Raw genomic sequence first — 24,474 nt, 5'->3', positions numbered from 1 at the left:
GTCACTTCTAGAACTTCTCTGGCCGGCCCCTGCAGACAGTATAGTTTGATGGTTATGAGCACAAATCCAGGAGTCAGATCTTGGCAAGTGTGAGCTTTGGCAAGTTACTTAAACTCTCAGTATCTTAATTTTCTTCATCTGTGATCTGGGAATGATGATAATAATGCATCTAACTTGTAGAGTTTTGTGTTAAATGAAGAAACACACAAAAAGTACTTGCCTGGCTCATAATATGCACCATAGGTGAGAGCTGTTTCGCTTATTTACTATTCATTTTATGTAACCTTGTGCTGTTATTGATTTACACACACACACACACACTTCTTCCATTGCTCTTTCATGTCTCAGTGGTTGTACTTATCATCCATAAAGAGAAATTCCATTTTCTAAAACAGCACATTTCTAGGAGCCAGGGAATATGCTTCTTCACTCACTAGCTGTGCCATGAGCACTTCACTTATTTTCTCAGTATTTAGGTTTCTTCATTTGATAAAGAAAGCTGGCCAGGTACAGCGGCTCATGCCTGTAATCCCACCACTTTGGGAGGCCGAGGTGGGTGGATTGCTGGAGTCCAAGGTGGAAGGATTGCTTGAGGTCAGGAGTTCAAAATCAGCCTGGGCAATGTAGTGATACCTCATCTCTACTAAAAATCAAAAAAATTAGCCAGGCATGGTGGCATGCACCTGTAGTCCCAGACACTCGGGAGGCTGAGGCTAGAGAATCACTAGATTTAGGGAGGCGAAGTGAGCTGTGCAGTGAGCTGTGATTGTACCACTGCACTCCAGCCTGGGTGACACAGTGAGACCCTATTAAAAAAAAAGAAGAAGAAGAAAGAAAAGGGAAGGTATTGTCTTTATTTCAGTTCCCCCCAAAAAAGACCCTGATAAAGTGCTAGTCATTTACTTGGGAGGTGATTGAAGGAAACTCCAATAATGGAGTGAGAAGGTGAGCCTGGAAAGGAAGGAAAGGCAGGGAAGCCCTTAAAAGATACACTATCAAGCTACTTCCTGCTATGGACAAAGGGACCACAGGGCTTCATCCCACGAAGAGCTCTCAGCATAGACCACCCCATGCCTCAGAGGTACACCCCCAAAGGAAGAGCTTGCTGGCTATTTAAACACCATCTCCCTTCAGGCATTGGTTGAGAGCTGCTGGGACGGTGGTGCATTCAATCTCAGGCTCTCCTCCCTCTGTGGGTGGGCTGAGCAGGCCCAGCCTCGAGAGGAAATTGGCAGTCAGCTGAAAGTGGGGCAGCACATACCACAATGGGAAGGTCTGAGGGGGGCCTCTCTAGGCTAAAGTGGTGATTGATTCAACTCAGTAAATATGTTTTTGCGGGGGAGAGAGGGAAGTGGCAGAAGCTATTCTGTCCAAAGAACTTTGCTAGCTAAGCAACAGGCTATGAAGATGAGTAAGAAATGGTTCCAGACTTTAAGGGTGTCACAATTCAGTGGCAGAGATAGGCATGTTAACAAATATTATATTAACAATCTTTACTGTGTAAGGAGTCCAAGACTAGAAGTTTGTTTATTTTTACCTAACAGACTGGTAAATAGTGAGGCTATGGGAAAACAGACAATCTCATGCATGGTTGCTAAAAGGAATGATTTGCCAATGTTTTTCAAAAATACAAATGTGTTTGTTTACTCTTTGACCCAGCAATCCATCTTCCGGGAATTTATCCTATAGATCTGCCTGTACATGAACAAAATGATGAATGTGCAAGGTGATTCATTGCAGCATCATTGTAATAACAAAAGACTAGAAATAATCCAAGCGAACATCAGGAGGGACTGGTTAAATGCAGTGGAGTAATTTGCAGCTGTATAAAAGAGTGAAGGAGTCTTCCCCAGAATATATTGTTAAGTTAAAAAAAATCAAAATGAAAAGGCAGAGTATATGTGGTGAGATAGAGGATTCAGAGCTGATCAAGGAAAGGACATGACCACGAAATGACAGTAGCACAAATGAACTTTGTTTGGGTGGTGCTTGGTTAGCATACGTGAGTGAAGTTCTTCACAGCAGGAGACCTTCCAGAAAGAGCAGCATGGAGCCACCACCCAGAAGAGGAAGAGAACAAGGGCATTCCCAGGGGAGAGGGAAATCGGAGAAGTGCCTCCTGCAGGTAGATGATGTTACCCAGTAACAAGATGGGGAGTCTTTGGGGTCAGAGAGCTTGAATCGGCAGCAGTGGCTTGGTGTCTTTCGTATCCCCAAGGTTCATCTTATCTATGGCTAGCAGATGTTGGGTACAGCTTCATAGGATGTGCAAGACAGGCAGGCTTTAAATAGCTAAAAATATGGTTATTTGGGCTACATTTAAGGCAATCAGATGTATATGAATTTGAGTTTAGTGCCAGAGGGCTTTGAGCTAATTGTCCTAGCCTGCTGTGAAGATGTAAACAACATGGGGACCAATATCCAGGGCCCCCCACCTTTAGCCCATTTATATAACAGCATGTAACATGTTAACTCTATGTAAGAATGAGGGAGAAATCAGAACATATATGTGTTTGTACATAGTTCCATAAAGAAACATTGGAAGTATATGCAAGAAACTAATAAAAGGAATGAGGCAATAGGGTGGAGGACAGACCAGCTTATGGATGCTAGTAAGACTTCTCAATATATATTTTTTATACCATTTTTATTTTTGAACCACGTGAAGGTATCACTTGAAAAAACAAGTAAAATTAAAGCAAACGAAGAAGAGGGTTGTCCAAAGTTCACAAGCATCATGGAGGCAGGTGGTTAACACTGTTGGAGGGATGGGAGATTATGGTTTTAGTGCAATCACATCATTCAGGTATTTATTTACTGTCCACCTTGTCCTAAAACTTTAGTTCTGGCACATAGTAGGCACATGATAAATATCTTTTTGAATTAACAAGTAAGCAATGCAGAATTTGAGAAGCTAGTTTTCTTTTTCTTTCTTTCTTTTCTTTTTTTATGGAGAGACAAGGTTGCAATCTTGTCTAGGCTGGAGTGCAATGGTGTGGTTATAGCTCACTGCAACCTCGAACTCCTGGGCTCAAGTGATCCTCCCACTTCAGCCTTCCAAGTAGCTGAGACTGCAGGCATGCCACCATGCCCAACTAATGTTTTTAACTTTTTATAGAGAAAGGGTCTCACTATGTTGCCCAGGCTGGTTTTGAACTCCTGGCCTCAAGCAATCCTCCTGCCTTGGCCTCCCAAAGTGCTGGGATTATAGGTGTGAGCCACCACACCTGGCCAAGAAGCTAGTTTTCAAGTTCAAATACAATTTCTAGGGGCATTTTATAAATTGTAAGTTGCTATTCAAAGAAAATAATTGTTTTTATGTTTCTTACATCCCCTACAGAGCTTAACAAAAGTATCCTGCGCTTCTTAGACCCTCAGATATTTATTGAACAAATGATTTCATTAAAAAATAATTTCCAGATTTCTGCTGTGATGGTACTTTTCCACTTAGGAGGCTTAGTTTTAAGTAAATTTCAGTTTTAAAAAGCACTTTTTTCAATTATTAGTTTATTCAACAAATATGTGTTCAACACTTACTATGACCATGACTGAATAGCCACCAAACACGTGATTAAATCTCAGTCTCTTATCACGCATCAGATTTTCATATCATTTATGGCATATGTAGGTATGTTGGGCAGTCAGTAAAGAAAACCTGCAGAATTTATTCTGGTTTTTTTTTTTTTTTTTTTTTTTTTTTTTTGAGACAGAGTCTCGCCCTGTCGCCCAGGCTGGAGTGCAGTGGTGCGATCTCAGCTCACTGCAAGCTCCGCCTCCCGGGTTCACGCCATTCTCCTGCCTCAGCCTCCGGAGTAGCTGGGACTACAGGCGCCCGCCACCGCGCCCTGCTAATCTTTTGTATTTTTAGTAGAGACTGGGTTTCACTGTGTTAGCCAGGATGGTCTCGATCTCCTAACCTTGTGATCCACCCGCCTCAGCCTCCCAAAGTGCTGGGATTACAGGCATGAGCCACCACGCCTGGCCAGAATTTATTCTATCCTTATGAACAGTGCTTGCTCAAAAAAACCCTGAAGTTTTTTTGTTTTGTTTTTGTTTTTTTTTCTTTACTGAGTACAAAAGAATATTCATTTCTGGAAGAAGATATTTGCGATACATACATCCAAAAAGGATTTATAACCAGAATATATAAAGAATTTCTCTAAATCAATAAAAGAGGACAAAAACCAATTTAAAAATGGGCAAAAGATTTAAACAGGCACTTTATAAAATAGGATATCCAAATGGCCAACGAGCATGTAAATATGGTATTCAACATAGCTGGTAATAGAAAAATGTAAAGTAAAACCACAAGATATCACTACATACATGAGAATGGGTAAAATTTTAAAGTCTGACAATGTCAAGTGTTGGTGAGGATGTGGAGCAACTGGAATTCATATACTGTGGTGGGAATTTAACATGGTACAGCCCCATGGAAAATTGTTTGGCAGTTTCTAATAAAATTACCACTTGACCCAGCTATTTTAAATGAAAACACGTCTGCAAAAAGATTCATATATGAAGGCAACAAAGGCCTGGTCCCAATGTCCCTCCCTCCTCTGGGCTCTTTGTGGGCATTTGTTTCATACCACTTTCACCAATACACTTGCATGGGTGTCTATTTCTTTTTTTTTGAGACAGTCTCGCTCTGTCACCCAGGCTGGAGCACAGTGGCGTGATCTGGGCTCACTGCAAGCTCCGCCTCCGGGGTTCACATCATTCTCCTGCCTCAGCCTCCGGAGTAGCTGGGACTACAGGTGCCCGCCACCATGCCTGGCTAATTTTTTGTATTTTTAGTAGAGACGGGGTTTCACCGTGTTAGTCAGGCTGGTCTCGATCTCCTGACCTCGTGATCTGCCTGCCTCGGCCTCCCAAAGTGCTGGGATTACAGGGGTGAGCCACCACGCCCGGCCGTGTGTCTATTTCTTAGCTGGATTATGAATTTGCATAAAGCATAAATGTGATGTATGTTAGCTACTGCAGCTACCAGGCATTCCTTTTTAAAAATCCCCAGAGTTTAACTTATGGCCTGCTGCCTAGTAGGCACTCAATAAATGTTGAATTAATGAATTGCCTCCATTTCAAACTAGTCATTTAAAAAAAGAGCCAGTGCCATGTTTTTACCCTCTGGTATCATTGCATGTAGTGCCCCTTTAGGCTAGTCTGTACAGGATGGGAGCATTTTCATTGAACTATATAGGTTTAAATAACCATATGCACGATGCAGAAATTAGAACTTGAAAGTGATAAATAGTGTCTGATTCAATACAGAGTAGCCTAAATGTAAGCCAGTCATGGTGAGTTATGCCCTGTCATATGTGGTGTGTAAAACGAAGCAGAATCAGTAGTTCTTATAGGCAACTAACTGTGCTTAGTAGCTGCCAAAAATTCACTGGAAACCCCTGAGCGGTCAGACTTGTGGTGCCTGGAAAGCAATCCGAAGTAAATTAACGAGTGATCATACAATATTCTTATTCTCCCGGATCATCTGTTTGCTGGCATGAAGAGTGGGTGGGAGGAATTGTAAAAGAGAGAAAAATAAAGCAGCAGAAAAAGCTGTAGAACACAGCAAGAATATCTTTCCCGGAAGGTCTCTGGGCCCCATATCCTAATTATTTTGTTCCATCCTCCCCACTGAATACAGAATTTCTGAAATAATGCGAGAGTTCAGTTGGTGCAGCTTAGTCCAGCCTGAATTGAGAATAACTCTTTGTTCTTAAAAGACTCTACAGTGCACCAAGAACAAGGAAACATTTTGGAAATAACAATTCTGCGATGCCTCCCAGGAATAGATGATAATCCTAAAAGCATATTTCCATTTCTAACTCCAAGGGCACTTTAATAATGGAGGGCATGTAAGTAGCTAACGGTGGAACATTTAAAATCTGAGTACAATGTCTATGACATATTCATATTTTAACGATCATTTTTAAATACTCAAGATTCTACCAAGATCTATTTTTCTTTCTCCACGATAGATAACATTGGATTGTCACATCATGCTTCATTTATTTCACATACGTGTGAGATAAAATTAAACTCAGAATGATTTTCTGCTATTTATTGCTTTGACATACTATTTTTACATTTAATACTGAATGTGGAAAAAAAAACCTCTAATGCCATTTTCTTTAAGAAATATCACACGATCTTGCTGAAATGTTCATTAATATTGGTTTAATGGAGCTTTGGATTAGCATCCTAAAAATTTCGCTGTTTTAAATTTTCAAAATGCAAACACAGACCTTTCCCCTTTGAGTGTTTTCAAGTGACAGCTATGAATTAATTAGTCATTTTTATAAACACCAATGTTCTTCTGTAATTTGTAAGTCAAAGAAAAGTTACTTTTTTTTTTTTTAACAAGTTCCAATCAACCATATGACTTCATGCAGTTTTAAATTTGGGGCCCTCAATCTGATTCTCAAATCCTTGTTCCAGGGTATGTGACAGAGCTCCCTCCTGGTGGTTTTTAAAGATGCTGGAAAGAGTGGTGGAGACATGGAGGCCTTAGAAGATGCCCTTGTAGTGTTGTCTTCAGCTTTCCTGGGGACTGTTGGAATCCGCTGCAGAGATGAGTGAGTAGTTAGACCGTGTCTCTTCTGAGCTGTTAGGCTGGGCTGCCATACATTTTGCCTCTGTTTCCAAGTCCTCCTCTGTGTGGTGCATGATGTGTGCTTCCTGCTGCTTGGCCTGCCTGCCTGAAAACCACCATACCATCACAAACTACCAGTTTTAATAAAATTACAGAATTCAAGTGACAAGTACAACTGGCCTACACAGCTGTGAGAACAAATTCTACAACTGATTTGAAGTAAGCATACAGCCCAACTGGTGAGAGAGAAATTCTCAAGGGTGACAGAGAGAGTGGCCTATTAGCTATCGGTGTTCAGTGTGCCCTGCCAGTGTGTAGAAGAGGGAATGGAGGCTGGTGAATCCCTGGTGTTGGTTTGGCAAAGTGTCATATCAGAGCTTCTGACTTAAGGCAGGGCTGGTTTTGGAGAAAATTGTAAAGAAATGTGCTCACTTGATGTTTTGGGGAGCTTTATTGAGGTATAGTTCATAAATAGGGATTATATATATTTAAGATACACAACTTGATGTTTTGATACATGTAGACATTGTGAAATGATCATTGCAATCAACCGAATTCACTTATCTATCACCTCACATATTTTCTTTTTTTCCTTCTTTCCCTCTCTCCTTCCCTGCCTCCCTCCCTCCCTCCCTCCCTCTCTCTCTCTTTCTTTCTTCTTTCTTTTTCTTTCTCTCTCTCTCTCTCCCTTCCTCCCTCCCTCCCTTCCTTCCTTCCTCTCTTTCTCTTTCTTTTCATTTCCTTCCTTCCTTCCTTCCTCCCTCCCTCCCTCTCTCTCTCTTTTCTCTTTCTTTCTTTCTTTCGCTGAGTACACTTGATATCTACCCTCTTAGCAAATTTCAAGTATATAACACAGTATTGTGACAGCACAGTAGTCACTCTACTGTATATTAGACTCTGAGCACTTATTCAACTTGTATAACTGAATTTTTATCGCCTTTGACCAACATCTCCCCACTTTCCCCCCACCTTAGCAACCATCATTCTACATTCTACTTCTAAGAGTTTGACTATTTTAGATTCTACAAGAAACATGCTCAGTTGGTTTTGATGCTCTGATCTTGCAGCATTCTCTGCCCACTGGCAGACACTCACAGTCCTTGAGTTTCCCTAGCTTCTCAGGGCCTCCCACCAAGTCTTTGCACCCAGTACGGGACACTGCCTCAATGCTTCTAGATCCCATTTCAGTGGATGGGATTTTAGGGCCTGAGAGTACAGAATTTTAAAAAATAAAGTAAGTGCAGAAGTATGAGTCTCTAGAATGCATTTCCTTGCAGTGTACTGTCTTTTGCTTGATAACCCTTATTATTTGCTAGATACGGAGATAAGTCCTCATACAAGGAAGAGTTACAGAAAGAGAAAATGAAAGCATCCTTGCCCTTTGGCAGCTTACATTCTAAGCAAATTTGAAATGCACATGTAATTTCTAATTAACCTTTAGAAATAAAAATAAATCTGGAAACAAATTAGGAAACATACCAGAGAGAATGTGGCCATTTTGAAATGCCCTTTTCTCTCAACAGTCCTTGTGATTTCTAGGATTATTGGGTTTTCTTCTTAGGCTATCCCATTAAACCTTGCAAGGTAAAGTAATGGAGAACCAAAAATGTCCCAGTTTCTTCTTCAATAAGTGGGTCTTTGTAGGTTGAGTCCCAAGGACCTTGCCAACAGTAAATGATCATATACTTGTTGATGTGTATTATGACTGTGTGTGCTTATTTCTTTTAATCTTGCCCTCTTGGCTAGACTATTATTTTTCTTTTCTTTTCTTTTCTTTTTTTTGAGATGGAGTCTCTGTCACCCAGGCCACCCAGGCTGCAGTGCAGTGGCACAATCTTGGCTCACTGCAACCTCCGCCTCCTGGGTTCAAGCAACTCTCATGCCTCAGCCTCCCGAGTAGCTGGGATTACAGGCGCCCACCACCATGCCCAGCTAATTTTTTATATTTTTTAGTAGAGGCGGGGTTTCGCTATGTTGGCCAGGCTGGTCTCAAACTCCTGACCTCAGGTGATCCACCCGCCTGGGTCTCCCAAAGTGCTGGGATTACAGGCGTGAGGCACCGTGCCAAGCCCTAGACTATTATTTTTCAATCATAGTACCTTTTCCATTTAGAGTCCACACAACTTCAGATCTTTGTCCCTAATGGGTGTGTATTAAGTGCTAATTTACATATGTTATGTATGTTATGGCAAACTGAGCAAGTATGGTCATTACAGGCAAATGCTTCGCCTGTGGCTGTGATTTCCACATTGCTGTATACACAGCACATCTACTCCCAGGCTTGTTCCGTTTTCAGACCTTGCGTGATGGCCCTCAGCACAACAGAAAGTTCTCCAACTGGTAAACTTTTACCTACCTGACTCCTGAACCGTGGTACCTGCCAAAACAGGCCCAAAGACTATCCCCAGCCCTTTCTTTCTTTTAAGCCCTCCTAACAATGACTGTGTTGTCCCTCCTAGTATTCTGTGTGCTTCTAACATTCTGCTTTAGGAATACAGTACTGTCTTTCAAGAGGCTGATTAGAAGGAAACAGAAATTGGGCAGTTGAAGACAATTCCTAGTCATGTTCTAAAAATAACAGATTGTTGAGGCAGTGTTGGAAGTAGGCTTCTTGAAATGCACACACTGTCCTTGTCTGATCATTGTCTATTGTGTTGAGTAAGGTGCCTTATGCACAAGAACATACAGGCCCAGAGAGATCCATTGCCACCATTTTTAGTTAGAGGTCATAATAGCCCCAGGGGTTTCACAGTCTGTCTCAGTGGAACTGATCTTGGAAATCGCCTCCTCCCACAGTCTTGTCATTATCCCATTTTCAATTCGCCCTGCTCACTGGCAGATAGCATCTCTTTGGGAGATGGATGGGGACTGCAAGTGAGTAGGGACTGCGGGCTGGGGGTGAGCCCCTTCTCTGAGCTCCTCTTGTCTTTACCAGGCTTTTAAAGTGCACAATCATTTTTTCTTTTATTATATAAAGGTGGCAGGTTTATGTACAGTTAAGGAAGAATCCTTTGCAGGTGGCCAGATTTTTATTTCTGCTCGCTGCATGTGGAAGGGGGTGAACTAAAAGGATATAACATAAATTAAAACCCAAGCAGGTGGTTTCATGCTCAGGGACCGAGTTGGAAACATTGCAACGTGGAGGCGATATTCAAATTAAAATGAGGAAACACGGACATGCTTCGATTACTGTGACAGATAATGTCAAGAACTTCTTTCCTGGCAGGGTAGATTCTGATGTGGACTAAAATTGATTTGTGTAGTTATCGCCCTGTGGTCTGTGGAAAAGTAAACATCGAGACCAAAATAATCTCTCTACCTATGGACGCAGGAGTAGTGAAAGGAGATGCACCACCCCTGGCCTTTGGCACTGTGTGTCAGGTTGGGGCCATAGCCTTACTCTTGGGAGTGGGCAAACCCTATCATCAGGCCCCGTGCGGAGGGAGTCATCTCCTCCACCGCCCAGGACTCTTTACACACGGAAGAATACCACCTTTTGGCAGAGGCAAGAGCACTTCATGTTAGTGACGCTTCATGTGATGGAGGATAAAGGGACAACACTCTTCTCTCCTGGCGTCCGGTAATTTTCATCATTTTAGAATAAAAGGAAGGTGCCGTCAAGACAAACGAGGAGTTATTCTTAGTTTTGGCAAGTCCTAAAACAGTGATACGGGGGCTGAAGAGTTCACGTGGAGTAGAAAGTTATTGCCAAGGTAAGTGATCGCACAGGCCCATGATCCCACAGTGCATACATTGACTCTGTAATTCGGTCTCCATAGAAGTTGATTCAGCACCACTTTTGCACCGAGTGGGTGTGGCTGTCACGAAGAGAAAGCCAGTGGGAGCAGAGATAGTTGATTTATGTAACAACTTTCATGCCTCATAGATTGTTCCATTCTCTAGAAGAAATAATTACCTGCTTATGAGCAGTTCTTTGGAGCAGAGCTCTGCTTCTTTTCTGCATAGTACAGACGTTATTTATTTCTAACTTTTGCCTCTGGGCCCTCAATATGTAGTCCAAATATACCACAGAAACACGAGACCTCTAAGGCAGCCAGGCACAAAATGTCGAATTGAAGGGAAAAAAGCAAGGTTAAAAAACAGAAATCATAAATTATCTTCTTGAAAAAATTACATGCATAGCACCAATCATTCTTCAATTCCTCCATAGCAATTTGACCTGATACTCATTTTTAAAACACAGCTCTCATTCTGGGTATCCTCTCAGCTTTCTGGGATAGGTTCCTGAAACAAAAGCCAAACAAAAGCCGAACATTCTAATGAAACATGGCCACAAACACTGGTGCAAGAAGTCTCCAAATCACTCAAAAGAATGTATATAGCATGAGTCGTAGGGAGTACTTTCTAGATGAATGAGCCTTGGGCTTGTTTTCGTCACTGGAAGGAAACGATTGTCTGACATCTTTGGAGTTGGAACATGGCTCTGAGCAGTTAAATTATTTCTGACAGAACTGCTTAAGGCAACTTCATATGGTTAGGGGGAAGCCCTATGAATTATTGAATTGCCCATTTTCCTGCACACAGAATTTCTCACATGAACCAATTTACCATGGGGACAGATAAAGTACAAAGCAGGAAAAAAAAAAAAGCAGAGGCAGTTTTTAAGAAGGAATATTCTAGGAACCTGGGTGCTGGGGTTTGGAGTTAATCAAGTTTACGAACTTCTCATCTCTGCTCCATGAGGGACTGGAAGCTGGCATTCATGAGATTACTGGAAATGATCTACACACAAAGGAATTTGATAAATGCTAGCTTGATACCCACTATAATATGTGTTTTGGGTAAGAGAGGAGAAAATGGAGAGACAATGGCAAAATGTACAGAGTCAGCAGTTCTGACTAGGAAGAGGAAGCAATAGTCATTCAGCTCATTTGCTGCTCAAACCAAACAGATCCACTTCACACCAACAGAGTTGCCTGGGGGCCTCCTTATCCCTGTGTCTCAGGAGTTGGGGTCTGGGGCCTCGGGTCTTTTTCTGCTCCAGCACGAGAGGATCTGCTTTGGTTTGCAGCAACAGCAGACGGATGGAGAACCTGGTACTGTTTGGGGCTCTGCCTGTTTGGTGGTAACTTCTCAGATGGACAAGTGGGCTCCTCTCTGCCTGCAGAGAGCTATTATCATATATATGACTCTCCAAGAGAGCAGCCAGGATAGGCCTTAGGCATCGTTAAAAAAAGAAGTTGAGGCTGGAGATGGCTCATGCCTGCCTTCCCAGCATTTTGGGAAGCCAAAGTGGGAAGATCTCTTGAGGCCAGGAGTTTGAGACCAGTCTGGGCAAAGTAGCGAGACCCCATCTCTACAAAAAGAAGAAGAAGAACAAAAAAAAATTAGCCAGGCATGGTGGCCTGCCCCTGTAGTCCCAGCTACTCAGGAGGCTAGGTTGGGAGGATCACTTGAGCCCAGGAGGTTGAGGCTGCAGTGAGCTATGATGGTGCCACTTCACTCCAGCCTGGGTGATGGAGTGAAACCCTTTCTCCAAAAAAAAAAAAAAAAAAAGAAAAAGAAAAAGAAAAGAAAAGAAAGGAAGGAGGAAAGAGACAGAAAGAAAAGAAAAAAGAAAAGAAAAGACGTCAACTAAATTGACTCTCACCCAGAGGCTTTCCCTTCCCTGAGGCCATTAGCTCTTTCTCCTAGCAGAGTCTATTAACCTCATAGAGTCTGTATTAGTCTGTTTTGCATTGCTATAAAGGAATACCTGAGACTGGGTAATGTATATAAAAAAAAGAAGTTTAATTGGCTTATGGTTCCGCAGGGTGTACACGAAGCATGATACCAACATCTGCTTCTGGTGAGGGCCTCAGGGAGCTTACAATCATGGCGGAACATGAAGAGGGAACAAGCTATCACATGGCGAGAGGGAGCAAGGGAAGAGAGGAAGGTTGTAGTCTCTTTTTAACAACCAGATCCTGCTGAACTCATTACGGGGGGAAGGGCACCAAGCCATTCATTAGAGATCCACCCCCACGAGCCCCACCTCCCACTAGACCCCACCTCCAACATTGAGGATCACATTTCAACATGAGATTTGGAGAGAACAATATCCAAACAATATCAGAGTTTATTCTCATTAAATGGTTGATGACTACTGACACTTTGGGCAGAATCATTCTTTGTTGTGAGGAACTTCCCTGTTCACTGTAGGATGTTTAGCAGCATACCTGGTCTCTGCTCACTAGATGCCGGTAACAACTAATAATTTATAAATCTATGTATGTCTCATGCAATATTTGGAACATAGATACACTAAGTAATTAGTTACTGTTTATTTGAAATCTAAATTGAACTGAGTGTCTTTATTTTATCCAGAAACCTTCTTGGGATATAAAAATTGCCTAGCTTGAGAACCACTGGGCTTAGGTATTTTCACTTTGAGAGACCAAAGGAATCAATTTCTAACTGTAAAACTTCCACTTCCGCAAGATGGAGGGTGAAGATATAAAATGGCCAGAAAGTACACGAAAAGATGCTTAGCATCATTAATCATTAGGGAAATGCAAATAAAAACCACAGTGAGATAACACATCACACCCGCTTGGATGGCTGTATTAAAATAGACAACAGTAGCAAGTATTGATGGGGAGGGGTAGCTGTTTGGAAAGCTGTCTCCAAACAAATTTTGCCCTTGGCCTCACAACACATACCTCTCTGGACTAATGACATGATGAGGGTTAACCTTCCCAAAATGGAAGAAAACATACCATGAGAACAAAACATGAACTAATACCTTCAGAAAAAATCTCTGCTACAAATCTGGCAGGTTCCCTTGCTTTCTCCGCTTCAAGTTTTCCTTGCTTCCACCCACCCTCCATATCGCTAAGACAGTGGTTTTTCTAAAACAGGAACCTGATTGTGTGACCCTACTCCTTGAAAATATAATGGCTACCAATGACAATGGTAGCATCCAAACATCCAAATGCCTTCCGATGGCAGTCAAGGTCTTCTGCAGTGTAACTCCAACTCATGCTCCCAGTCTGTTTGTTTGTTAATAACAGTCTCATTGGCATATAATTCACGTAGCCTACAGTTCACCCACTTACAAGGTACAATTCAATATACTTTTATTGTGGTCACAGAGTTATGCAACTGTCATCCCAATCAATTTTAGGACACTTTCATCAACTCCAGAAGAAACCCAGTATCTACTAGCAGTCACTTCCCATTTCCCCCCAAAATCTTCCGCCCATCCCTTGGCAATCAATACGCTACCTTTTGTGTCTGGCTTCTTTTCATATATTTTTAATTCAGGTAAATGGAAGTAGACTTTAACACTTTTTGAGAGTTTTTCTGTACCTTTTTTCAGCTCAGCGGATCCCCTGGGAAGTCTGAGGGTAGGTTGGGAGGGACTGAAATAAACAAGATATTGTTTATATTAACGGTCAAACCTGTGTCGGCCACATGTCTGAAACGTTTCACCCCCTTATCTACTGTTATCTCAAATATATGTCCTTAATGTGTTTCCCACAGTTCTTATCAGTCCTGTACTAACTAGTTACGACTTGTAGGATTAATTAACTTGTCATAAAAGGCGTTAGCTGAAGTAGAAATGTGCATAATCAAAACTCTTTACTTTACAGCCAATATGTAAAAATGCTAGCTCTAAGGCTAGCGTGAATTGACGTCATTTAAAAAGCTTTATTCCACTGTCTAATTGTGAAATAATATCAGCAAGGCTTGTTAAAAGCCACAAAAAACAATTTGTAATCAAAAAAACCATTTGTAATCAAGATCTCATTTTTGTGTTTTTTTCCCAACATAGTGCAGCAAATAATAGTAGAGACCCTCTCTGGAGGCTTTCATAAACTTTTCAGCCTAGATTGTGGGAGACTGAGGCCTGTAGACCCGTCTTCAATCACAAAACCATTCTATTGATTCTGGCTTAAGTGGCTCTACAGCTGAACACAGAAGGAAACAAAGGGAAGGCAAGGAAAAAGGTTAGTAGTGATATCAAATGTGGAGTCACATGATTTTAAAGTTACTTATTCATTCAGTGTGAAATAATTACTTCATTAAAAGCAATCCTCCAAACATAATAGTATTAAATTACAGTGCTCAAGGCTCTACATGCTCCTGGGTAAATTGAAGAGCCTCTAGATTGAATTCATTTTTCATCCTCTACTTGGTTTGTATTGGCTTTTTCTAGCCAGGGGACTAAGAAGAACAGAAGATAACGAAGGAGGCTGGGAAGTTTCCATCTATATACATTCTAATGACTTGCAAAACTAGCTCTTTCAAAATTAAGACATGAAAGGTTTTGAACGAGTTTACTCTTCTGTTTGGATATTCCCCAAACAGAAATTATATAAGAAGCAGCAGTACTTGCAGTGATCGCATCAGTGGTCAGCAATTTAATTTTTGTTAATAATAGTCATGTCTACCACTGACAGAAGAAAAGCATTAAGAGATCATCTTGTCCTGCCTTGAGGCAGGTAAATGTCTGAAGCATTCAGAACAGATGGCCTTTCTCTCCTAAAGGATCTAGGGGGTTAAGCGGGGGAGGGAAACTGCAGCTTAACTTGATGAGCAAGAGATTTTAAACAGCAATTCAACTCAATTTTTACCTATCCTTCACTTTTGTCTGATTTCTCTAAATGACCTCAATTCCCTAAATGATCTTGTCCACCCAGCTGAGAGAGAGAAAACAGGAACATGGAGAGTTATAGTGCACACTTTCTTGTGTTAAAAATGAAATTTCATTTGATTTAGGGTAGTTTTGCCTCAGGCTATCTATTGCCAGTGTTTGTAATTACATTTCCTAGATGATATGATCATGGTAATGTCAGAGGTGTTTAAACCAGAGCAACTCCATCTTGGATAGGGGCTGGGTAAAATAAAGCTAATAAGGCATTTTAAGTTACAGGATGAGACTGGAGGTCAGCACAACATACAGGTCATAGGACCTTGCTGATAAAACAGGTTGCAGGAAAGAAGCCGGCCAAAACGCACAAAAACCAAGATGGTGATGAGAGTGATCCCTGGTTGTCCTACACTCCCACCAGCGCCATGACAGTTTACAAATGCCATGGCAACATCAGGACGTTACCCTATATGATCTTAAAAGGGGAGGCATGAATAATCCACCCCTTGTTTAGCATGTAATCAAAAAATAACCATAACAATGGGCAAACAGCAGCCCTCGAGGCTGCTCTGCCTATGGAGTAGCCATTCTTTTTATTCCTTTACTTTCTTAATAAACTTGCTTTTACTTTGCACCATGGACTCGCCCTGAATTCTTTCTCGTGCGAGATCCAAGAACCCTCTCTTGGGGTCTGGATTCAGACCCCCTTTCCGGTAACAGTAATATGGCTGATCACCTGTATAAGAATATCTGATGTATTAACTATGACAATAAATGTTATTTAATAATAATACTTTAAAACACGAATATTTCATTTTTAAAGTGCTTTCTAGAATACACAGAACTCCTCCATATTATATTCATTTAATGTTCAGCAACCTTCTAAGGTATATCTGGCAATTCCAGTTGCATAGATAAAGAAACTGAAATCTCAGAAAAGTTAAATGACTTAGTAAAAATAACTCTGCTAGAAAATATCAGTGCTCTAATCCAGGGATTAGCAAACTACTCAACTCTTTGGCCAAATCCAGCCTGTCACTTCGTTATGTATTGCCCTCAAGCTAAGAATCGTTTTAACATTATTAAATGATTTTTAAAAATTCGATGACATTAGATTATATGAAATTTAATTTCAGTGTCCATAAACAAAGTTTTACTGGAGCACACTGCCCATTTGTTTACATATTTTCTATGGTGCTTTTTCATGCCACAATGGCAGAGTTGAATAGTTGTGACAGGGACCATATGGCCCACAAATCCTAAAATATTAACTGTCTGACCCTTACAGAAAAAGTTTACCAACTCCTGCTATAATTCAACCTTAAATTGTACCCTTGGATAACTTTTACTAGATGGACATATGGAAAACAATAATAAAAGAAAGATGGTTCATTGGAATTGGCATTGACCTTGCCACTTTGTCAAACACGCAATCAAACCCATGAAATGATTTCAATAGGATTCAATGATCTTTTGCAAGATCACAAGACCATAAGCCAAACAATTGTTATTTTCACTTTGTGTTCCCAGCTGCTCTAAAAACATTTTAATTATTTGGAGTCTTTTAAAAAAGAATATATCAATATAAAATCATCAATATTTCAGGAATCATTATGGGATTTTGAATATGCAAATCTGTCCATAGCAACTGTTAAGACTTCTTTGAGAGTGGTTTATTATTATTATTATTATTATTATTATAATTTTGAGACGGAGTCTAGCTCTGTCGCCCAGGCTGGAGAGCAGTGGCGTGATCTCGGCTCACTGCAACCTCCGCCTCCTGGGTTCAAGCAATTCTCTGCCTCAGCCTCCCAAGTAGCTGGGATTACAGGTGCCCATCACCATGCCTGGCTAATTTTTTTGTATTTTTAGTAGAGATGCGGTTTCACCATCTTGGCCAGGCTGGTCTCGAACTCCTGACCTCATGATCCACCCACCTGGACCTCCCAAACTGCTGGGATTACAGGCGTGAGCCACCGTGCCTGGCCGAGAGTGTTATTTTTAAGACGGAAATTAAGTATGCACAGTTTAGCAATTTAGCTTAACCCTCACTCTGCCTCTTGAAGTATTCAATTGGCTACTTCTAAACAGACCACAGGCCTTTCATTTTGTTCTTAGAAATACTTTATTCACCCCGTTTGCCAAACCAACGGCACACATAGCTGGTTTAGAAAATGTGACATGAAAATGATGTTGTAAAATTGAAGGAAAATAATGCTTGCTTTTCATTACCACACGAGGGAAACCCCCTTCCCCCCTCCAACTCCCCCGACCCGCTGCTGCCCCAGTTGAATCGTCCTCCACTTCATCAACACCTCAAAAGGAAAACCTCCAGGCCATTAGCATCATTCATCTCTGGGAGATAACTGTCATTCATCCTTACCGAGATAACTCAGTTTTACTTGAATAGAGTACCTGAGTTGCTAAAGAGATCATTTTACTGAGACGTAATTTACTTACAATGAAATATACTGATTTTAATGTTTACTTTCATAAGTTTCACAAATGCACACATGCATGTAACCTGCCTCATCAAGATATAGAACATTTCTAATCACTCCAGAAAGCATCTCCCCTGCCACTTCAGGTTAGTAACAGCCACACCTCCCTACCCCCAACCCCAAGCAACCACTTATCTGATTCTATTACCACAGATTAGCTTTATCTGCTTTAGAGCTTCATAAAAATCCAATTGTAACCGCCCAACGGGTTCATTTTGCCCACTGCCCAGATAGAGCCGATTTATCAAGACAAGGGAATTACAATAGAGTTTAATTCACGCAGAGCCGGCTGAACGGGAGACCAGAGTTTTATTATTACTCAAATCAGTCTTCCTGAAAATTTGGAGACTGGGTTTTTTTGAGGATAATTTGGTGGGTAGGGGGCCAGGGAGTAGGGAGTGCTGATTGGTCAGGTTGGAGATTAAATCATACGGGGTCGAAGCTGTCTTCTTGCACTGAGTTGGTACTTGGATGGAGGCCACAAGACCAGATGAGCCAGTTTATTGATCTGGGTGGTGCCAGCTGATCCATCGAGTGCAGGGCCTGAAAAATATCTCAAGTATTAATCTTAGGTTTTAGAGTAGTGATGTTATCCCTAGGAGCAACTGGGGAGGTTTCGAATCTTGTGGCCTCTGGCTGCATGACTCCTAAACCATATTTTCTAATCTTGTGGCTAATTTGTTAGTCCTGCAAAGGCAGTCTGGTTCCCAGGCAAGAATAGGGTTGTTAACATCTTTATTTCAAAGTTAAACTATAAACTAAGTTCCTCCCAAGTTAGTTCGGCCTATGTCCAGGAACGAACAAGAACAGCTTGGAGGTTAGAAGCAAGATGGAGTTGGTTAGGTCGGATCTTTTTCAGTCCTGATTTTCTCACTGTTACAATTTTTGCAAAGGTGGTTTCAGAATCACAGAATATAAATTCTTTTGTGTTTGTCTTTTTTTTTTTTGCTGAGCATGTTTTTAAATTTGTCCATGTTGTTACATGTATCAATAATTTGTTCTTTTTTTATTGCTTAATAGTAAGCCATTGTAAGAATATACCACAGTTTGTTTATCCATTCTCTTGATGGACATTTGAGCTATTTCTCATTTTTAGCTATTATAAATAAAGCTGCTACGGATATTTTTCTACAAGACTTATGTGCACATATGCTCTCATTTATCTTGCATAAATACCTATAGATGGAATTACTGGGTCATAGGGTAGGTATATGTTTAACCATTTAAGAAACTGCCAAAGGGTTCCACAAAATGGTTGTATCATTTTAAACTCCTTCCAGCAATATGAGAGTTCCATTTGTTCCACATCCTTGCTAACAGTTGATAATGTCTGAGTCTTTAATTTTAGTCATCTTAGTGGGTGTGTAGTGCCATCTCATTGTGGTTTTAATTTGCATTTTCCCTGATGCTTAAAGCTTTTGAGCATCTTTTTAAAAGATACGTTTATTAGTCATGGTACTTTCATGAATGTCTGTCCAAGTCTCCCCCATTTTTTATTAAGCTACCTTTAATTATTAAATTATATGAATTCTTTATATGTACATATTTTTTTGAGGCGGAATTTTGCTCTTGTTGCCCAGGCTGGAGTGCAATGGCATGATCTCGGCTCACTGCAACCTCTGCCTCCCAGGTTTAAGCGATTCTCCTGTCTCAGCCTCCCGAGTAGCTGGGATTACAGGCACCCACCACCAAGCTCAGCTAATTTTTGTAGTTTTAGTAGAGATGGGGTTTCACCATGTTGGCCAGGCTGGTCTCGAACTCCTGACCTTGTGATCTGCCCGCCTGCCTCGGCATCCCAAAGTGCTGGGATTACAGGCGTGAGCCACCTCGCCCGGCTGAATTCTTTATATTTTTAAAATGTAAGTCTTTTCCAGTTTTATATGTTGCAAATATTTCACCCACTATGTGGCTTGTCTTTTTATTCTCTTAATAGGGTCTGTTGAAAAGCAGTTTTTAACTTTGATAAAGTCTGATTTATCAATTTTTCGTCTCATGGCTAAAGCTTTCTGTGCCCTCTCTAAGAGATCTTTACTTCCTGCATGGTTACAAAGATATTCTCCTGCCTTTATTTTAGAAGCTTTATAATTTTAGCATTTATATTTAGGTCTATGATTCATCTTGAATTAACTTTTTGCATGTGACGTGAGGTAGGAGTCAAAGTTCTTATTTTTAAAAATATGTACATCCACTTTGTGTAGTGCCATTTGCTGAAGATGTATTAGTATTTTTATTTGCATTATTTAGATGAAGAAATTGAGACTTGAAAAAGCCAAGTATTTTGCCAAGTCACATGGCTGTCCATGTGACCCCAAAATCTATATTCTTTCTCCCATCACAGCACTTTCTATGTCAGTTATCAATATGACAGGACGTCATCAATCCCTCTCACTCTGTCCTTTTCCTCCTGAGCAGATGAGAACAATATACCCCTCACTGTTTCACTAGTCCTTCTTTTGTGGCATTCCCAACCCCTATGACCAATTCTTTAAACCTGGCCATGATGATCTTTCAAAATTTATTACATACTAAATGTAGTAAAGTGAATGAAAGGAAAAACCCACTGAAGACACTGTGTCTGTCAGTCAACAAAATGAACATCTTTATATGAGAGATTAGGTTGATAGGCATTAATTAGACATTCAAACTTTTCTGCAGAGATCCCATAAACTAGTACAAAACACTCAAGGGCTGAGAGGACGAATGAGGAAAAGTGGAATTTTGAGGACTTGTAGATTCCAACGTTATGTCTGCAGATGTTTGTGCTAACCCAAGTTTGAGAAATCCTGTATTAAAAGTCAAACATGTCACACAGGCAGATCACTTGGCACCAATGCAATGATTAAGAGAAATGCAAATGTGCACCTTGAATTTGAATAGCAGTATGTGGTTGTATGATCGTTGACCAGGTAATCTAGAAAATGCTCTGTTGTTATATATTTTTTTAACATTTTAGAAAGAATTTTTAGTTAAGCATTACAAATAAATAGAAAATAGGAAAAAAATAGTGTACTATCCTAGATGCATTTTTTTTTTGCAATTCTTTTTTTTTTTTTTTTTTTTTTTTTACTTTAAGTTCTGGGATACATGTGCAGAACATGCAGGTTTGTTACATAGGTATACATGTGCCATGGTGGTTTGCTGCACCTATCAACCTGTCATCTAGGTTTTAAGCCCCAAATGCATTAGGTATTTGTGCTAATGCTCTTCCCCCCCTTTCTCCCCACCCCCCAAAAGGTCCCAGTGTGTGATATTCCCCTCCCTGTGTCCAATATTCCCCTCCCTGTGTCCATGTGTTCTCATTGTTCAACTCCTACTTATGAGTGAGAACATGCGGTGTTTGGTTTTCTGTTCTTGTGTTAGTTTGCTGAGAATGATGGCTTTCAGCTTCATCCATGTCCCTGCAAAGGACATGAACTCATCCTTTTTTATGGCTGCATAGTATTCCATGGTGTATATGTGCCACATTTTCTTTGTCCAGTCTATCATTGATGGGCATTTGGGTTGGTTCCAAGTCTTTGCTATTCTAAATAGTGCTGCAATAAACTTACATGTGCATGTGTCTTTATAGTAGAATGACTTATAATCCTTTGGGTATATACCCAGTAATGGGATTGCTGGGTCAAATGGTATTTCTGGTTCTAGATCCTTAAGGTATCGCCACACTGTCTTCCACAATGGTTGAACTAATTTACACTCCCACCGACAGTGTAAAAGCGTTCCTATTTCTCCACAGCCTCTCCAGCATCTGTTGTTTCCTGACTTTTTAATAATGGTCATTTTAACTGGCATAAGATGGTATCTAATTGTGGTTTTGATTTACATTTCTCTAGTAATCAGTGATGATGAGCTTTTTTTCATATGTTTATTGGCCACATAAATGTCTTCTTTTGAGAAGTGCCTGTTCATATCCTTCACCCACTTTTTGATGGGGTTGTTTGTTTTTTTCCTATAAATTTAAGTTCCTTGTATCAGCTGAAGGAGTTTTGGGGCTGAGACGATGGGGTTTTCTAAATATACAATCATGTCGTCTGCAAACAGAGATAATTTGACTTCCTTTCTTCCAATTTGAACACTTTTATTTCTTTCTCTTGCCTGATTGCCCTGGCCAGAACTTCCAATACTATGTTGAATAGGAGTGGTGAGAGAGGGCATCCTCGTCTTGCGCTGGTTTTCAAAGAAAATGCTTCCAGCTTTTGCCCATTCAGTATGATATTGGCTATGGGTTTGTCATAAATAGCTCTTATTATTTTGAGATATGTTCCATCAATACCTAGTTTATTGAGAGTTTTTAGTATAAAGGGATGTTGAATTTTATTGAAGGCCTTTTCTGCATCTATTGAGATAATCGTGGTTTTTGTCATTGGTTCTGTTTATGTGATGGATTGCATTTATTGATTTGCGTATGTTGAACCAGCCTTGCATCCCTGGGATGAAGCCGACTTGATCATGGTAGATAAGCTCTTTGATGTGCTGCTGGATTCGGTTTGCCAGTATTTTATTGAGGATTTTCACATCAATGTTCATCAGGGATACTGGCCTGAAATTTTCTTTTTTTGTTGTGTCTCTTCCAGGTTTTGTATCAGGATGATGCTGACCTCATAAAATGAGTTAGGGAGAAGTCCCTCTTTTTCTATTGCTTGGAATAGTTTCAGAAGGAATGGTACCAGCTCCTCTTTGTACCTCTGGTAGAATTCGGCCATGAATCCTTCTGGTCCTGGGCTTTTTTTGGTTGGTAGGCTATTAATTACTGCCTCAATCTCAGAACTTGTTATTGGTCTATTCAGGGATTCGACTTCTTCCTGGTTTAGTCTTGGGAGGGTGTGTGTGTCCAGGAATTTGTCCATTTCTTCTAGATTTTCTAGTTTACTTGCGTAGAGGTGTTTGTAGTATTCTCTGATGGTGGTTTGTATTTCTGTGGTATCAGTGGTGATATTCCCTTTATCATTTTTTATTGTGTCTATTTGATTCTTCTCTTTTCTTCTTTACTGGTCTAGCTAGTGGTCCATCTATTTTGTTAATCTTTCCAAAAAACCAGCTCCTCGATTCATTGATTTTTTTGAACAGTTTTTTGTGTCTCTACCTCCTTCAGTTCTGCTCTGATCTTAGTTATTTCTTGTCTTCTGCTACCTTTTGAATTTGTTTGCAGTTGCTTCTCTAGTTCTTTTAATTGTGATGTTAGGGTGTCTATTTTAGATCTTTCTAGCTTTCTCTTGTGGGCATTTAGTGCTATAAATTTCCCTCTTAACACTGCTTTAGATGTGTTCCAGAGATTCTGGTACGTTGTCTCTTTGTTCTCATTGGTTTCAAAGAACTTGTTTATTTCTGCCTGAATTTCATTATTTACCCAGTAGTCATTCAGGAACAGGTTGTTCAGTTTCCATGTAGTTCTGTGGTTTTGAGCGAGTTTCTTAATCCTGAGTTCTAATTTGATTATACTGTGGTCTGAGAGACTGTTTGTAATGATTTCCATTCTTTTGCATTTGCTGAGGAGTGTATTACTTCCAATTATATGGCCAATTTTAGAATACGTGCTATGTGGCACTGAGAAGAATGTATATTCTATTGATTTGGGGTGGAGAATTCTGTAGATGTCTATTAGGTCCGCTTGGTCCAGAGCTGAGTTCAAGTCCTGTATATCCTTGTTAATTTTCTGCCTTGTTGATCTATCTAATATTGATAGTGGGGTGTTAAAATCTCCTACTATTATTGTGTGGAAGTCTAAGTCTTTTTGTAGGTCTCTACAAAGTTGCTTTATGAATCTGGGTGCTCCTGTGTTGGGTGCATATATATTTAGGATACTTAGCTCTTCTTGTTGCATTGATCCCTTTACCATTATGTAATGGCCTTCTTTGTGTCTTTTGACCTTTCTTGGTTTAAAGTCTGTTTTATCAGAGACTAGGATTGCAACCCCTGCTCTTTTTTTGCCTTCCATTTGCTTGGTAAATATTTCTCCATCCCTTTATTTTGAGCCTATGTGTGTCTTTGCATGTTAGATGGGTCTCCTGAATACAGCACACCAGTGGGTCTTGACTCTATCCAGTTTGCCATCTGTGTCTTTTAATTGGGACATTTAGCACATTTGCATTTAAGGTTAATATTGTTATGTGTGAATTTGATCCTGTCATCATGATGCCAGCTGGTTATTTTACATATTAGTTGTTGTAGTTTCTTCATAGTGTCATTGGTCTTTATATTTTGGTGTGTTTTTGCAGTGGCTGGTACCAGTTTTTCCTTTCCATATTTAGTGCTTTCTTCAGGAGCTCTTGTAAGGCAGGCCTGGTGGTGACAAAATCCCCCAGCATTTGCTTGTCTGGAAAGGATTTTATTTCTCCTTCACCTATGAAGTTTAGTTTGGCTGGATATGAAATTCTGGGTTGAAAATTCTTTTCTTTAAGAATGTTGAATATTGGCCCCCACTCTCTTCTGGCTTGCAGGGTTTCTTGGAGGCTTTGTTCATTCCTTTTCTTTATTTTTTCTCTAATCTCGTCTTCACACCTTATTTCAGTAAGTTGATCTTCAGTCTCTGATATCCTTTCTTTGGCTTGATTGATTCAGCTATTGATACTTGTGTATGCTTCATGAAGTTCTCGTGCTGTGTTTTTTAGCTCTATCAGGTCATTTATGTTCCTGTCTAAATTGGTTATTCTAGTTAGCAGTTCCTGTAGCCTTTTTTGAAGGTTCATAGCTTCCTTGCATTGGGTTAGAACATGCTCCTTTAGCTCAGAGGAGTTTGTTATTACCCAGCTTCTGAAGCCTACTTCTGTCAATTCTTCGGTCTCATTCTC

General features: G+C 40.4%; 1 long non-coding RNA gene across 1 annotated transcript in view, besides 2 other annotated features; it reads left to right on the top strand.

Annotated features, from left to right (window-relative positions):
- Window positions 951–1,468: an enhancer, noted in NCBI's record as "OCT4-NANOG hESC enhancer chrX:13446525-13447042 (GRCh37/hg19 assembly coordinates)". NCBI's record gives its function as "activates a minimal SCP1, AML or CMV promoter by ChIP-STARR-seq in naive H9 embryonic stem cells {active_cell/tissue: H9 hESC(naive)}" and the evidence as "EXISTENCE:reporter gene assay evidence [ECO:0000049][PMID:30033119]".
- The window catches only part of LOC124905248 (uncharacterized), a 32,555-nt gene continuing 17,849 nt past the window's right edge, over window positions 9,769–24,474 (top strand). The window contains exon 1 of the long non-coding RNA XR_007068395.1: window positions 9,769–10,305. This is a non-coding gene — a long non-coding RNA (uncharacterized LOC124905248). The remainder of the gene's footprint in view (window positions 10,306–24,474) is intronic.
- Window positions 15,403–15,984: an enhancer, noted in NCBI's record as "NANOG hESC enhancer chrX:13432009-13432590 (GRCh37/hg19 assembly coordinates)". NCBI's record gives its function as "activates a minimal SCP1, AML or CMV promoter by ChIP-STARR-seq in primed H9 embryonic stem cells {active_cell/tissue: H9 hESC(primed)}" and the evidence as "EXISTENCE:reporter gene assay evidence [ECO:0000049][PMID:30033119]".

The sequence above is a fragment of the Homo sapiens genome, chromosome X (assembly GCF_000001405.40).
Source record: "Homo sapiens chromosome X, GRCh38.p14 Primary Assembly".
NCBI classification, from domain to species: Eukaryota; Metazoa; Chordata; class Mammalia; order Primates; family Hominidae; genus Homo; species Homo sapiens.
This window is presented reverse-complemented; position numbering and strand designations above follow the sequence as displayed.